Source organism: Homo sapiens, chromosome 22, assembly GCF_000001405.40.
Source record: "Homo sapiens chromosome 22, GRCh38.p14 Primary Assembly".
Classification (NCBI taxonomy): domain Eukaryota; kingdom Metazoa; phylum Chordata; class Mammalia; order Primates; family Hominidae; genus Homo; species Homo sapiens.
In genome coordinates this window covers 29,246,565-29,258,811 of record NC_000022.11, presented here as the reverse complement: position 1 = coordinate 29,258,811, position 12,247 = coordinate 29,246,565, and the positions used below count along the sequence as shown (strand labels likewise).

Below are 12,247 nucleotides of genomic sequence, written 5' to 3'. Positions count from 1 at the left end.
GGAGGGAAGAAGGAGAGAGGCCACATTAGAGGGGTTCATGTGAGGTGCCCACCTCCCCTTGGCCCTCTAGGGGGTGGCAGAACCGGGCACGCTCTGCCAGGTATAATCCACCCTGGTATCTGGCTGCAGAGCTGTGGGAAAGGGGGTCTGCAGATTGGTTGGTGCCTCACGCCAGGACTTACCAGCCCCCCAGCCCAAGGAGAGCACTCAGGGCCTCTGCTTCCTGCTTTGTCAGGTGGGGATAACCACACCCACCTCCTTTAGGAAGTGTTTAGATGCAGTGAATGCTTCATAGAAAGGCTGCTTCTTTTTCTATTCATTTTGGGGTGGAGGTGTGCCCTGAGTCATCCCCATTTGGTAGCTGGGTAAACTGAGGCCAGGGAACAGACATGGGCTAGGCCACCAGTTGGGGGAAAGAGCTTAGGAGGCCAGGCTCTGCCACTGACCTACTGTGCAGTCTTGGGCAAGCTGGACCTCTGTCAGGGCCTCAGTCATCTCATCTCTGAAACAGGGACAGTTCCGGATGGAACCAGAAAACTACTCATCCTTCAAAACCAAGGGTAGGAGCCATTTCCTCCAGGAAGCCTTCTGTGCCTATCATCTCAGCCCTTCCCAAAGTAAAATGAGCAGGCCAGGCAGGTCAGAAGAATAGGCTGTTTTTCTAGGGGGAGATGGACACTCAGGGAGGAGAGGGCCACGGTGGAGGACTTGGCTAAGCCTCCATAGGACAGATACTTGGGTTCTGGTAAACACCAGGTTCCCACTGAGGGCACTGCCATGGAGTGGGCTGTCCGTCGTAATCATGACTGCCAGTGCCCCGACCCTGTGTGGCCCAGCCTGCCCTGCACCTCTGGGCTGAGTTGAGGGCTCCCGGAGCAGACAGGCATGTGTGGTCACTGAAAGGGACATTCCATGCCTTAGGGAGCGTGGGAGGGGAGTGGCACAGAGCACTGGCCCCAATGCCAGCTGGGATCATGGCTTGGTCCCACTCTGCCAGTTATGTGGCCTTGGGCAAGTCATAGAACCTCTGAGCGTCATCTGGAACGTGGGCATAATAGTCCCATTTTCACACCCTTGTGATACATGTGTTTACCGTGACCAGGACTGGAAAGTGGTTTTCACGGGAAATGCTGGATTATTATGGTTACTAGGTTGGTGTCGCTTCCACCCAGGTCTCCTGCAGGTCTGGCCCCTGTGAGTTTGTCACAATCAAATTTGGGGCCCTGGATGAGTGGCAGAGTCAGCAAACCTTTGCTGATGCAGTCCAAAGGGCCAGGACTTTAGAGGGGAGACCTGAGGTGGACCCCTAGCCTGACCATTCCCATTCCTGTGACTCTGAAGCAGTCACAGGAGCCTCTGAGCTTCTGTTTCTTCACCTGTAAAATGGCCACGGCATCGCTCACCTAGCAAGTTTACTCCTCTAAGAGATTGGAGATGATCAATCCAGCCCAGGTGGGCCAGACACGTGGCAGCTGATACTATTATCATAATTATTGATTATAACCTAAACATGAACCCCATCTGGGTCTTCAGTAGCACCTGATGTGTATGTTGCGCCAATGGGGAGGGTCCCACCTCCTTCCCTGTCCCATTTCCCAGTCCCCCGACCTGTCCCTCCAAGCCCCGACCCAAGCTGGCTTGAGGGGCCACTGGCAGTGGGTGTGGGACTTCTGAGGTGTCTGGCACTTTTCTCCCTGGGCTGTCAGAGACAGAGCTGGCTGAAGGCAGGGACAGATCCAGGGACATGGTGGCTCAAATGTGTCCCTTCTAGCTCCTGCTCCAATCCTCAGAGAGGAGGTGGAGACACCTAAAAAGGTTCTGAGAGCCTGAGATTTGGTCCTTGGCCCCTCTCTGTAAGAGGGGAGGAGGTCTGGGAGCTAGGCACTGAAGTTTCTAGAAGTTAGAGAAGCATGTGGCACTGTGGGAGGAGCTTTGGAAGCAGACCCCACACCCTTCCCAGGCTCTGGGCCTCTGCACAGGCAGGACTCTCTCAAGGCTGCCCGACCCACTTCCCCACCTGGCACACTCATTGGGATCTTCCAGGACGCAACGCAGAGTCCCCTCTTCCAAGAAGCCTTCTCCAACCCCTAGGGACAAGTGACTCTTCCTCATCCATATCCTTCCATGCTCCCCTACCCCATATCTCCGTAGATACGATTCCCTGCCACTCATGGCCAGCTCCCCAAGGCCAGCACCTATCTGTACTCCAGAGCACCAGTGCCCAACAGGTCTGGCTTTCAATGAGTGCTCCCTACAGTTTTGCTGGATGAAGGAGGCTGGGCTCTAACCTTAACCCTTCTTCCTGCTTGGGATCTAAGTTTCTCAGTCTTTTTTTTTTTTTTTTTTTTGAGATGGAGTCTCGCTCTGTCACCCAGGCTGGAGTACAGTGGTGCGGTCTCGGCTCACTGCAACCTCTGCCTCTTGGGTTCAAGTGATTCTCCGCCTCAGCCTCCCGAGTAGCTGGGATTACGGGTGCCCGCCACCACACCCAACTAATTTTTAGTAGAGACGGGGTTTCGCCATGTTGCCCAGGCTGGTCTTGAACTCTTGACCTCAGGTGATCCATACGCCTCGGCCTCCCAAAGTGCTAGGATTACAGGTGTGAGCTAACATGACCGGCCTCTCAGTCTTTAAAATAGATGCGAGGTTGGACATGATATGGAGGCCTCTGTGCACTGATGTGCTCACTGGGCTGCGAGATAGGGCGGCTGGGCAGGTGAGGAATAGAGCTCAGCCCCTCGGGTGGCCAATCCCTTCCTTTCTTCAGGGCCAGCCACAGGCTCCAGTTTCATGGGGAGAGATTTTCTCAGCCTCACTCCCAGGAGCCAGACGCAAGGAGGGGTACCACCCACTGGTGTCTAACCACCTCCTGTACTACCCCAACCTGCCTTCTAGGACCTTCTCAATCTAGGCCCTGCCAGATTCTGTTGCTTCTAGGCTCCTTCTGGTCTCTTGGCCTTCGCTTATGCTGTTTCTCTGCCTGTTCACTCTCCCCAGATCCTTGCCCTTCAAGTCTTCACTTAGATATCACCTCCTCCAGGAAGACCTCCCTGACCCCCCTCCAACCTCCTCTGGGCCAGGCCAGAGGCACTTCTGTATTTCCATGGCTGCCTGTACTCCCTTTCCTGCAGTGTAGCTCACCTGGGTTTCTCTACCAGTGTCAGGGTTCTCCTGAGCCCCCCAGCACCCTACACTCCTCAAGGGCAGGACTGTGTCTGTCTTATCTTGTGGAGCCTGTCCCAGCAAGGTGCCTGGCACAGAGCAGGTGCGCATTCACTCAAGTGACCAGAGCCTTCTCTCTGCCAGGCACCATTTGCTGGCTGGCTGGCTGGATGAAGAATGAGTGTCCGCTGGCCTGGGCCAAGCATCGGAAGGCGCCTTCTGCATGCCCAGGCCTTTTCCAGGCCCTTCCTGGAAGAGGCTGCCCCTGCCTGCCCGCCCTGCCATTACCTGGCCAGATGATGGCTTCCAGGAGGGTGACCCGTCTGGCCAGGAGCTCCAGCTGAGCCTGCTGCTGCAGGAAGCTCTGTAAGCTAGGAGCCTGATGGGAGATGGAGAAGAGCAGACGGTGCGAGTCTGGCCTCCGAGGGCTGGGCTGGGGAGCCAAGCGGGGAGGGTGGGAGGGCACTGCCAGCTGGCGTCAGGGCAGGAGCCTGGGAGTGAGTCTCAGTACTGAGACCTCAGTTTCCCCTCCTATGGTGGGGACAGGGCTGGCCTGGCTCCTCAAATAACCACATGGGTGGAGAGTTTCTGGGTGAATGAATGCCTGGGGTGAGTGAGGGCCTGGCTCTCTTAGTCCCCTAAAGGGACCAACAGAACAGGTTAGGAGGACCAAAGGGAAAACTGCAAAGGGGACACCTGGGACCAGGAGGATCTGCCTTGTGAGAGCCTCTGGGGGCTTATGGGAGAGGAAAGTCAGAACTAGTAGGTGGTGTATTACCCAGAGTCCCCTGGGGCCTGAGCCTAGCTCTGTCACCCACAGTCCCCTGCCCTTCTGGAGTCTTGCTCCATGACCTATTGTCCTGCGGGCCTGACTCTGTTACCCATGATTTCTCTAGAGCTGAAGGCTGACTAGAGTCTGGATCCATTACCTATAATCCTCCTGTTGTCCTGAGCTGTGATTGGATTCCCCATGGTTCCTTGCACTCCAGGAGTCTGGCTCTGTTACCCACAATCCCACTGCTGGAGTGGAGTTTGGTTCCATTGCCCATAATTTCTTCCAAACTTAAAATCTTTCATCTCTGGTTCCCTGCAGGCCTAGAAACCACACTACCCATAATGCTTAGAGGCCCAGGTCTGACCACAGCAGCAGGGCCCGGGTTTCTAGGGCACCCCTGCACCCGTGGAGGAGGGAACCAGTCATTGAGGGAAGGGTGGTTGTGGCCTCTCAGGTCCATGCTTGCCTGGGGCAGGCACCTTCTCCAGCCTCATGACTGGGCTCAGGCCAGTTCCACCCCAGGAGGGCTTGGGGAAGGCTGGCAGGCAGGGGCTGGGCCGTCTGTCCGTCTGTCTGTCTCTACTCACCATAGAGCCCAATCATTGTTTCCAAGATTAAAACCCTCTCAGCTAAAATCTTCAAAGCCTCGCGTAGCTGGTGCAACCCCTCCCCCTGTGGAGGAAAGAGACAGATGCAGCCGTGAAGGGGGCAGGGGAGGGGACCCTGCAAAGCCCGTCGGTGGCCCATGCCCCACCCGGGACATGCACCTGCAGCCCCACACTACCTGCCACAGCCCAGGGTCCATGGACAGCCAGAACAAGACCAGGTGAGGACAGGAGGGGGACAACAAGGCAGACGGAAGGAAGCAACCCCTGCAGGACCTCCCAGAAGGTCCCGTTGGATCCCAGCTGGCTGCTCTCTGACAAGGCCGCAAATCCTGCTGCGCTGAAGGCAGGGGGAGCCAATCTTCAGGGGCAGAACGGCAGTCCCAGAAGCTGCTGGGAGCCCTCCTGTCCTCTAATGTCTGTCGCCCAGCACCAGTTGCTCTCCCAACACCTGCATGACTATATCTCTTGGCCACCTATATGCTTATTTACTTCACATTCTTTTTGCTTTAAATCACCACATTAGCCTCACCCTAATTACTCCGATCAGTGAGTTCAGGCTACTTACCAGTATTTCCACTTATGCCCAAATGAATATATAGATGTTCCTTGACTTTCAATGGGATTTCATCCAGATAAACCCAGTGTAAGTTGAAAATATCACAAGTCAAAAGTACATTTTTTTTTGAGACGAAGTTTTGCTCTTGTTGCCCAGGTTGGAGTGCAATGGCGCGATCTCAGCTCACCGCAACCTCCACCTCCCAGGTTCAAGCGATTCTCCTGCCTCAGCCTCCCAAGTAGCTGGGATTACAGGCATGCACCACCACACCCAGCTAACTTTGTATTTTTAGTAGAGACAGGGTTTCTCCATGTTGGTCAGGCTGGTCTGGAACTCCTGACCTCAGGTGATCTGCCCGCCTCGGTCTCCCAAAGGGCTGGGATTACAGGCGTAAGCCACCGCGCCCAGCCAAACACATTTCTTTTTTTTAAGAGACAAGGGTCTTGCTATGTTGCCCAGGCTGGCCTCGATCTCCTGGCCTCAAGTGATCCTCCTGTCTCAGCCTTCCAAAGTGTTGGGATTACAGGCGTGAGCCACCATCCCTGGCCAAAAAAGTGCATTTTTGACATACAATATTTTCAACTTACGATGGGTTTATTTGGAAGTAAGTTGAGGAATGTACTGAAAGCCTATATTGCTTTCGCACAATTGTAAAGTTGAAAAATTGTAATTTGAACCATCGTAAGCTGGGGACCATCAGTATGTCAATAAAATTAGACAAGGTTTGAGTTACATTGCTTTTGGAGAACTTGCGCTTAAAATTCTGAGAAACCTGAGGCTCAGCACTCTGTCCCTTCCCCAGGTCTTCACGCTTTGGGCTCCCTGCCTGGAAAACAGTGCTCACCTCTCCCAGGGCTTAGACTATGCCAGGTCCACAATCTGGCACATCCTGATGCGTCACCCTCAGCCCAGCCCTCTCCTCTTAGCAGTACGGGTCTGCTTCTCCCTGTCTCTGGCTCCCAGACCCCAGGGATGTGGCACTGGGCTCACAAAGCCCCTCCTCCAAGGCCACCAGCTCTGGGGCTCCCCACTCCCCAAGTGGTACCAGCTGCTACCCAGGGCTCATGCCAGAGACCTCATCTCTTTCTCCCCATCTGCATCCTTTCCTTCCCCAGCATATGGTCCATAGTCTTGACAACGCTCCACACTCCCTCACTCCTTCCTCTTTCCTAGTCCAGACCAAAGCTATTTCCAGAATGTAGATCTCTCAATTCCAACAGTGCACCAGGATGACAAATAGAACTATCCCAGCTCTGACAACATCTGGAAATCTCTCTTGGTGCCCTTTACTCAGTACAGATAAGTGAAGGGATAGACAATATGCATAATTGTATAATTACAAGCCAACCCTTTAAGGTTGCTGCTTCCCACAAAACCATCTAAACAACTAAGAGGTCTCTCAATATGTCCATCATGAGTGAGCCTGCTCGCTGGGGCTGACCCTTGTGATCCAGCTGTCCTGTCCACATCACATGGATCGGGTGACCCTCAGGCCGCTGAATGGCCATTTCAGCCTGGGGGTCCCAGGGTCACCACGAGCTGCATGCCAAAGTAATCCCCTTTCGAGTATTACAGGGGCAGGATCTAAAAATGAATGACCTTCGCTAGGCACAGTGACTTACACCTCTAATCTCAGTGCTTTGGGAGGCCAAAGTGGGAGCATCACCTGAGGCTAGGAGTTTGAGACCAGCCTGGGCAACATAGCAAGACCCCATATCTACAAAAAATTTAAAAATTAGAGTGGGCACGGTAGCTGTCCTGTAATCCCAGCACCTAATGACACTTTGGGAGGCCAAGGTGGGCAGATCACTTGAGGTCAGGAGTGCAAAAGCAGCCTGGCCAACATGGTGAAACCCCATCTCCACTAAAAATACAAAAATTAGCCAAGCTTGGTGGTGTGCACCTATAGTCCTAGTTACTTGGGAGGCTGAGGCAGGATAATCACTTGAACCCAGGAGGCAGAGGTTGCAGTGAGCTGAGATCACACCACTGTACTCCAGCCTGGGTGACGGAGGGAGACTCCATCTCAAAAAAAAGAAAAAAAAATTATTTGGGTGTGGTGGCACACACCTGTAGTTCTGGCTACTGTGGAGGCTGAGGTGGGAGGTTCACTTGAGCACAAGAGTTTGAGGCTACAGTGAGCTATGATTGTGCCACTGCACTCCACGATGGGTGACAGAGCAAGACCATGTCTCAAAAAACGCCGGGGGGGCTGGCATGGTGGCTCACACCTGTAATCCCAGCACTTTAAGTGGCCAAGGTGGGAGGATCACTTGAGCCTAGCCAGGGCAACATAGTGAGACCCCATCTCTAAAAAAAAAAAAAAAATGGCCAGATGCAGTGGCTCACGTCTGTAATCCCAGCACCCTGGGAGGCTGAGGTGGGTGGACTGCTTGAGCTCAGGAGTTCCAGACCAGCCTAGCCCACATGACGAAACCCCATCTCTACTAAAAATACAAAAATTAGCCAGGCATGGTGGTGTGCGCCTGTAGTCCTGGCTACTTGGGAGGCTGAGGTGGGAGGATTGATGCCCAGGAGGCTGAGGCTGCACTGGGCTGAGATCGTACCACTGCACTCCAGCCAGGGCGACAGAGACCCTGTCTCAAAAAAAGAAAAAATTAAAAAATTAGCCAGGCGTGGTGGTGTGTACCTGTAATTCCAGTACTTTGGGAGGCTGAGGTGGGAGGGTGGCTTGGGCCCCTGAGGTCGAGGCTGCAGTGAGTCATGATCATGCCATAGCACTCCAGCCTGGGCAACACAGCAAGACCCTATCTCAAAAAATAAAAAATAAAAAAAGATGATCTTAAAAAATTCCAGGCTGAGCACAGTGGCTCACACCTGTAATCCCAGCACTTTGGGAGGCCTAAGCGGATGGATCACCTGAGGTCAGGAGTTTGAGACCAGCCTGGCCAACATGGAAAAACCCTGTCTCTACTACTACTAAAAAAAAAAAAAAAAAAAAAAAAAAAAAAAAAAATTAGCCGGGTGTGGTGGTGCATGCCTGTAATCCCAGCCACTCTGGAGGCTGAGGTGGGAGAATCGTTTGAACCTGGGAGGCAGAGGTTGCAGTGAGCCGAGTTCATGCCATTGCACTCCAGCCTGGGCAACAGAGCAAGACTCTGTCTCAAATTAAAAAAAGAAAAAAAAAAGATAAAATAAAATTCCATGAAGCCATTCCTGGCATGGACAATGGGACAAGCTGACATCATGAGCTTCCTAACGAGGTACAATAAAAGGCACCACAGGTGCCCCTGCCAAGATTATTTAGCCTGCATCTCATCATGAAGAAACAATCAGACAAATTTAAATTGTGGGACATTCACACAAAGACAAAGTCAAGAGAAGAAGAAAAAGGCAGGAGGCCTGTTCTAAGTTAAAAGAGACAAGAAATGTGACAACCAAACGCAGTGTGTGAGAACCTTGATTATATTTTGGACTTTATTGATTGATTGATTGAGACAAGGTCTTGCTCTGTTGCCCAGGCTGGAATGCAGTGGTATGATCATGGCTCACTGTAGCCTTGACTTTCAGGACTCAAATGATCCTCCCGTCTCAGCCTCTCAAGTAGCTGGGACTACAGGTGTGCACCACCACACCCAGCTAATTGAAAACAAATTTTTTTATTTTTTTTGTAGAGACAGGTGTCTCCCTATGTTGCCCAAGCTGGTCTCAAACTCTTGGGCTCAAAAGAGCCTCCCACCTTGGCTTCCCAAAGTGCTGGGATTACAGGCATGAGCCACCTTGCCCAGCCAGATCTTGGACTTTGGAAAAAAAGAGCTTTAAAAGGCATTTTGGGGGCCAGGCGTGGTGGCTCACACCTGTAGTCCCAGCACTTTGGGAGGCTGAGGCGGGCAGATCAACTGAGATCAGGAGTTTGAGATCAGCCTGGCCAACATGGTGAAACATCGTCTCTACTCAAAATACAAAAATTAGCCAGGCGTGGTGGCAGGCACCTGCAATCCCAGCTACATGGGAGGCTGAGACAGAAGAATCGCTTAAACCCAGGAGGCAGAGGTTGCAGTGAGCAGAGATTGCACCATTGCCCTCCAGCCTGGGCAACAAGAGTGAAACTCCATCTCAAAAATAAATAAATAAATAAATAAATAAATAAATAAATAAATAATAAAGGTATTTTGGGGGTCAGGCGCAGTGGCTCACGCCTGTAATCCCAGCACTTTGGGAGGCTGAGATGGCCGGATCACCTGAGGTCAGGAGTTTGAGATCAGCCTGGCCAACATGGTGAAACCCTGTCTTTACTAAAAGTACAAAAATTAGCCAGGCATGGTGGTGTGCGTGCACGCCTGTAATCCCAACTACTCAAGAACTGGAGGCAGGAGAATGGCTTGAACCTGGAAGGCGGAGGTTGTAGTGAGCTGAGATCACGCCACTGCACTCCAGCCTGGGTGACAGAGACTCCGTCCTGGTGCTCCAGCCTCGGTGACAGAGACTCCATCTCAAAAAAAAGGAAAAAAAAAAGAAAAGCCATCTGGGGACAACTGGTAACATTTACAGGTAAGTCACATATTTAATGGCATCATTTTGCTAAATAAATGTTAGCTTTCTTAAGTATGACGACGGTATTGTGGTAATGTGGGAGAATGTCCATATTCATTCACGGTGCACACTGCAATGTTAGGGGAAACGTGGCTGGGTTTTGCAGCTTACTTTTAAATGAATTTGAAAAAAAGATCTATAAATATGTAAGAGAGAATGACAGAACAATTGTGGCTCAATACAGTCATACATCACATAATGATGTTTCAGTCTACGATGGATTGCATATCTCCACAGTGGTCTCATAAGATTATAATGGAGCCAAAAAATTCCCATTGCCTAGTATTTACTATATTTTACTTACTTATTTATTTTTGAGACAGAGTCTTGCTCTGTCGCCCAGGTTGGAGTGCAGTGGCGTGATCTCGTATTACTGCAGCCTCGACTTCCCCGGCTCAAGCGATCCTCCCACCTTAGCCTCCCAAGTACCTGGGACCACAGGCACATGCCATCATACCCAGCTAATTTTTTTATTTGTACAGACAAGGTCTCGCTATGCTGCCTAGGTTAGTCTGGAACTCCTGGGCTCAAGTGATCCTCCTGCCTTGGACTCCCAAAGTGCTGGGATTATAGATGTGAGCCACTGCACCTGGTCATATACTATACTTTAAATTGTTATTTTAGAGTGTACTCCTTCTACTTATTTAAAAAACAGTTAAGCTGTAAAACAGCCTCAGGCAGGTTCTTCAGGAGGTATTCCAGAAGAAGGCATTGTTATCATAGGAGATGACAGCTCTATGCATGTTACTGCCCAGAACTTCCAGTGGGACAAGAGGTGGACATGGAGACAGTGATACTGATGATCCTGACCCTGTGTAGGCCTAGGCTAATGTATGTGTTTGTGTCTTAGTTTTTAGCAAAAACATTTAAAAAGTGAAAAAAAAAAAAAAAAAAAAAGGGCCAGGCACAGTGTCTCACACCTGGAATCCTAGCACTTTGGGAGACCGAAGCAGGCGGATCACTTGAAGTCAGGAGTTTGAGACCAGCCTGGCCAGCCAACATGGTGAAACCCCATCTCTACTAAAAATACAAAAAAATTAGCTGGGCATCGTGGCGTTCACCTGTAGTCCCAGCTACTTGGGAGGCTGAGGCAATGAGAATCGCTTGAACCCAGGAGGCGGAGGTTGCAGTGAGCCGAGATCAAGCCACTGTACTCCACTGTACTTTTCTTGAGACATAGCAAGACTCTGTCTCAAAAAAAAAAAAAAGTAAAAAAAAAATTAATTTCACCAGCGCGGTGGCTCACGCCTGTAATTCCAGCACTTTGGGAGGCTGAGGTGGGCGGATCACTTGAGGTCAGGAGTTTGAGACCAGCCTGGCCAACATGGTGAAACCCCGTCTCTACTAAAAATACAAAAAATTAGCTGGGCGTGGTGGCTCATGCTTGTAATCCCAGCTACCCAGGAGGCTGAGGCAAGAGAATCGCTTGAACCTGGAGATGGAGGTTGCAGTGAGCCGAAATCACACCACTGCACTCCACCCTGGGCGACAGAGCAAGATTTTGTCCTAAACAAACAAACAAAAAAGCTCCAAAAATCTTTTATGGTGTATTTTTGCTGTACCTTTTCTATGTTTAGATACACAAATACTTACGACTGTGTTGCAGTTGCCTGCAATATTTAGCGTAGTAACGTGCTGTTTAGGTTTGTAGCCTGGGAGCAATTGGCTACACCATACAGCTGAGGTGTGTTGTAGGCTATCCCATCTAGGTTTGTGTATGTACACTGTATGATGCTCATGCCACAACAAAATCACCTAATGGCATATTTTCCAGGACATATCCCCATCATTAAGTGACACATGGCTGTACCAATAATTGGTCCATCTACAGGAAGGGCAGAATGACATTCATTGTACCAACTTTTCTGTATATCAAAATGCAAAATAGCTGGGTGCAGTGGTTCACACCTGTAATCCTAGCACTTTGGGAGGCTGAGGCGGGTGGATCACGTGAGGCCTGGAGTTCAAGACCAGCCTGGCCAACATGGCGCAAACCCATCTCTACTAAAAATACAAAAATTAGCCAGGCATGGCTACAGAGTCCCAGCTACTTAGGTGGCTGAGGCACGAGAATTGCTTGAACCCAGGAGGCAGAGGTTGCAGTGAGCTGTGATTGAGCTGTTGCACTCCAGCCTGGGCGATAGAGACTCTGTCTCAATAAAAAAGGAAAAAAACAAAATAAAAATAAACAAAAATATTGGGGAGGCCAGGTGCAGTGGCTCACACTTGTAATCCCAACACCTTGGGAGGCTGAGGTAGGAGGATCACTTGAGGCCAGGAATTTGAGACCAGCCTGGGACACATTGTGAGTTCTTGTCTGTATTTTTTAAAACATAAAATTAAAAAGAAAAATATGGGGAAAAGTGTTTTTAAAATCCACTGTTTGGAACTCCCTCAGACCAGGTGGCCTGATGTTTGCACTGATGACAACCCAGTCTCCTTCAGCCTGGCCTGCCCTCTGCACTCCGGATCTAAGTGTCTGGGCCTGCTGGACAACCCTACTTGGCTGTAACACAGACTCCTCCCGTTGGTCCACAGACAAAACTCAGCCTGCTTGCTTCTCCTGGTTCTCTTTTGCTATTTTAAGTCTCC

General features: G+C 50.9%; 1 protein-coding gene across 18 annotated transcripts in view; it reads right to left on the bottom strand.

Annotated features, from left to right (window-relative positions):
- Window positions 1-12,247, bottom strand: part of EMID1 (EMI domain containing 1) — a 53,702-nt gene that overhangs the window by 786 nt on the left and 40,669 nt on the right. For 6 of the 18 annotated variants that reach the window (XM_011529868.4, NM_001410828.1, XM_011529871.4 and 3 more), the window contains one exon: window positions 3,451-3,541. The exons of 2 other annotated variants lie outside the window; for them this stretch is intronic. In XM_011529868.4, the coding sequence (XP_011528170.1) occupies window positions 3,451-3,541 (91 nt within the window). Of the gene's footprint in view, window positions 1-4; window positions 503-3,450; window positions 3,542-4,524; window positions 4,610-4,721; window positions 4,883-12,247 lie in introns of those variants that run through there. 10 more of the 18 variants (XM_011529869.4, NM_133455.4, NM_001267895.2 and 7 more) reach the window with 4 other exon arrangements.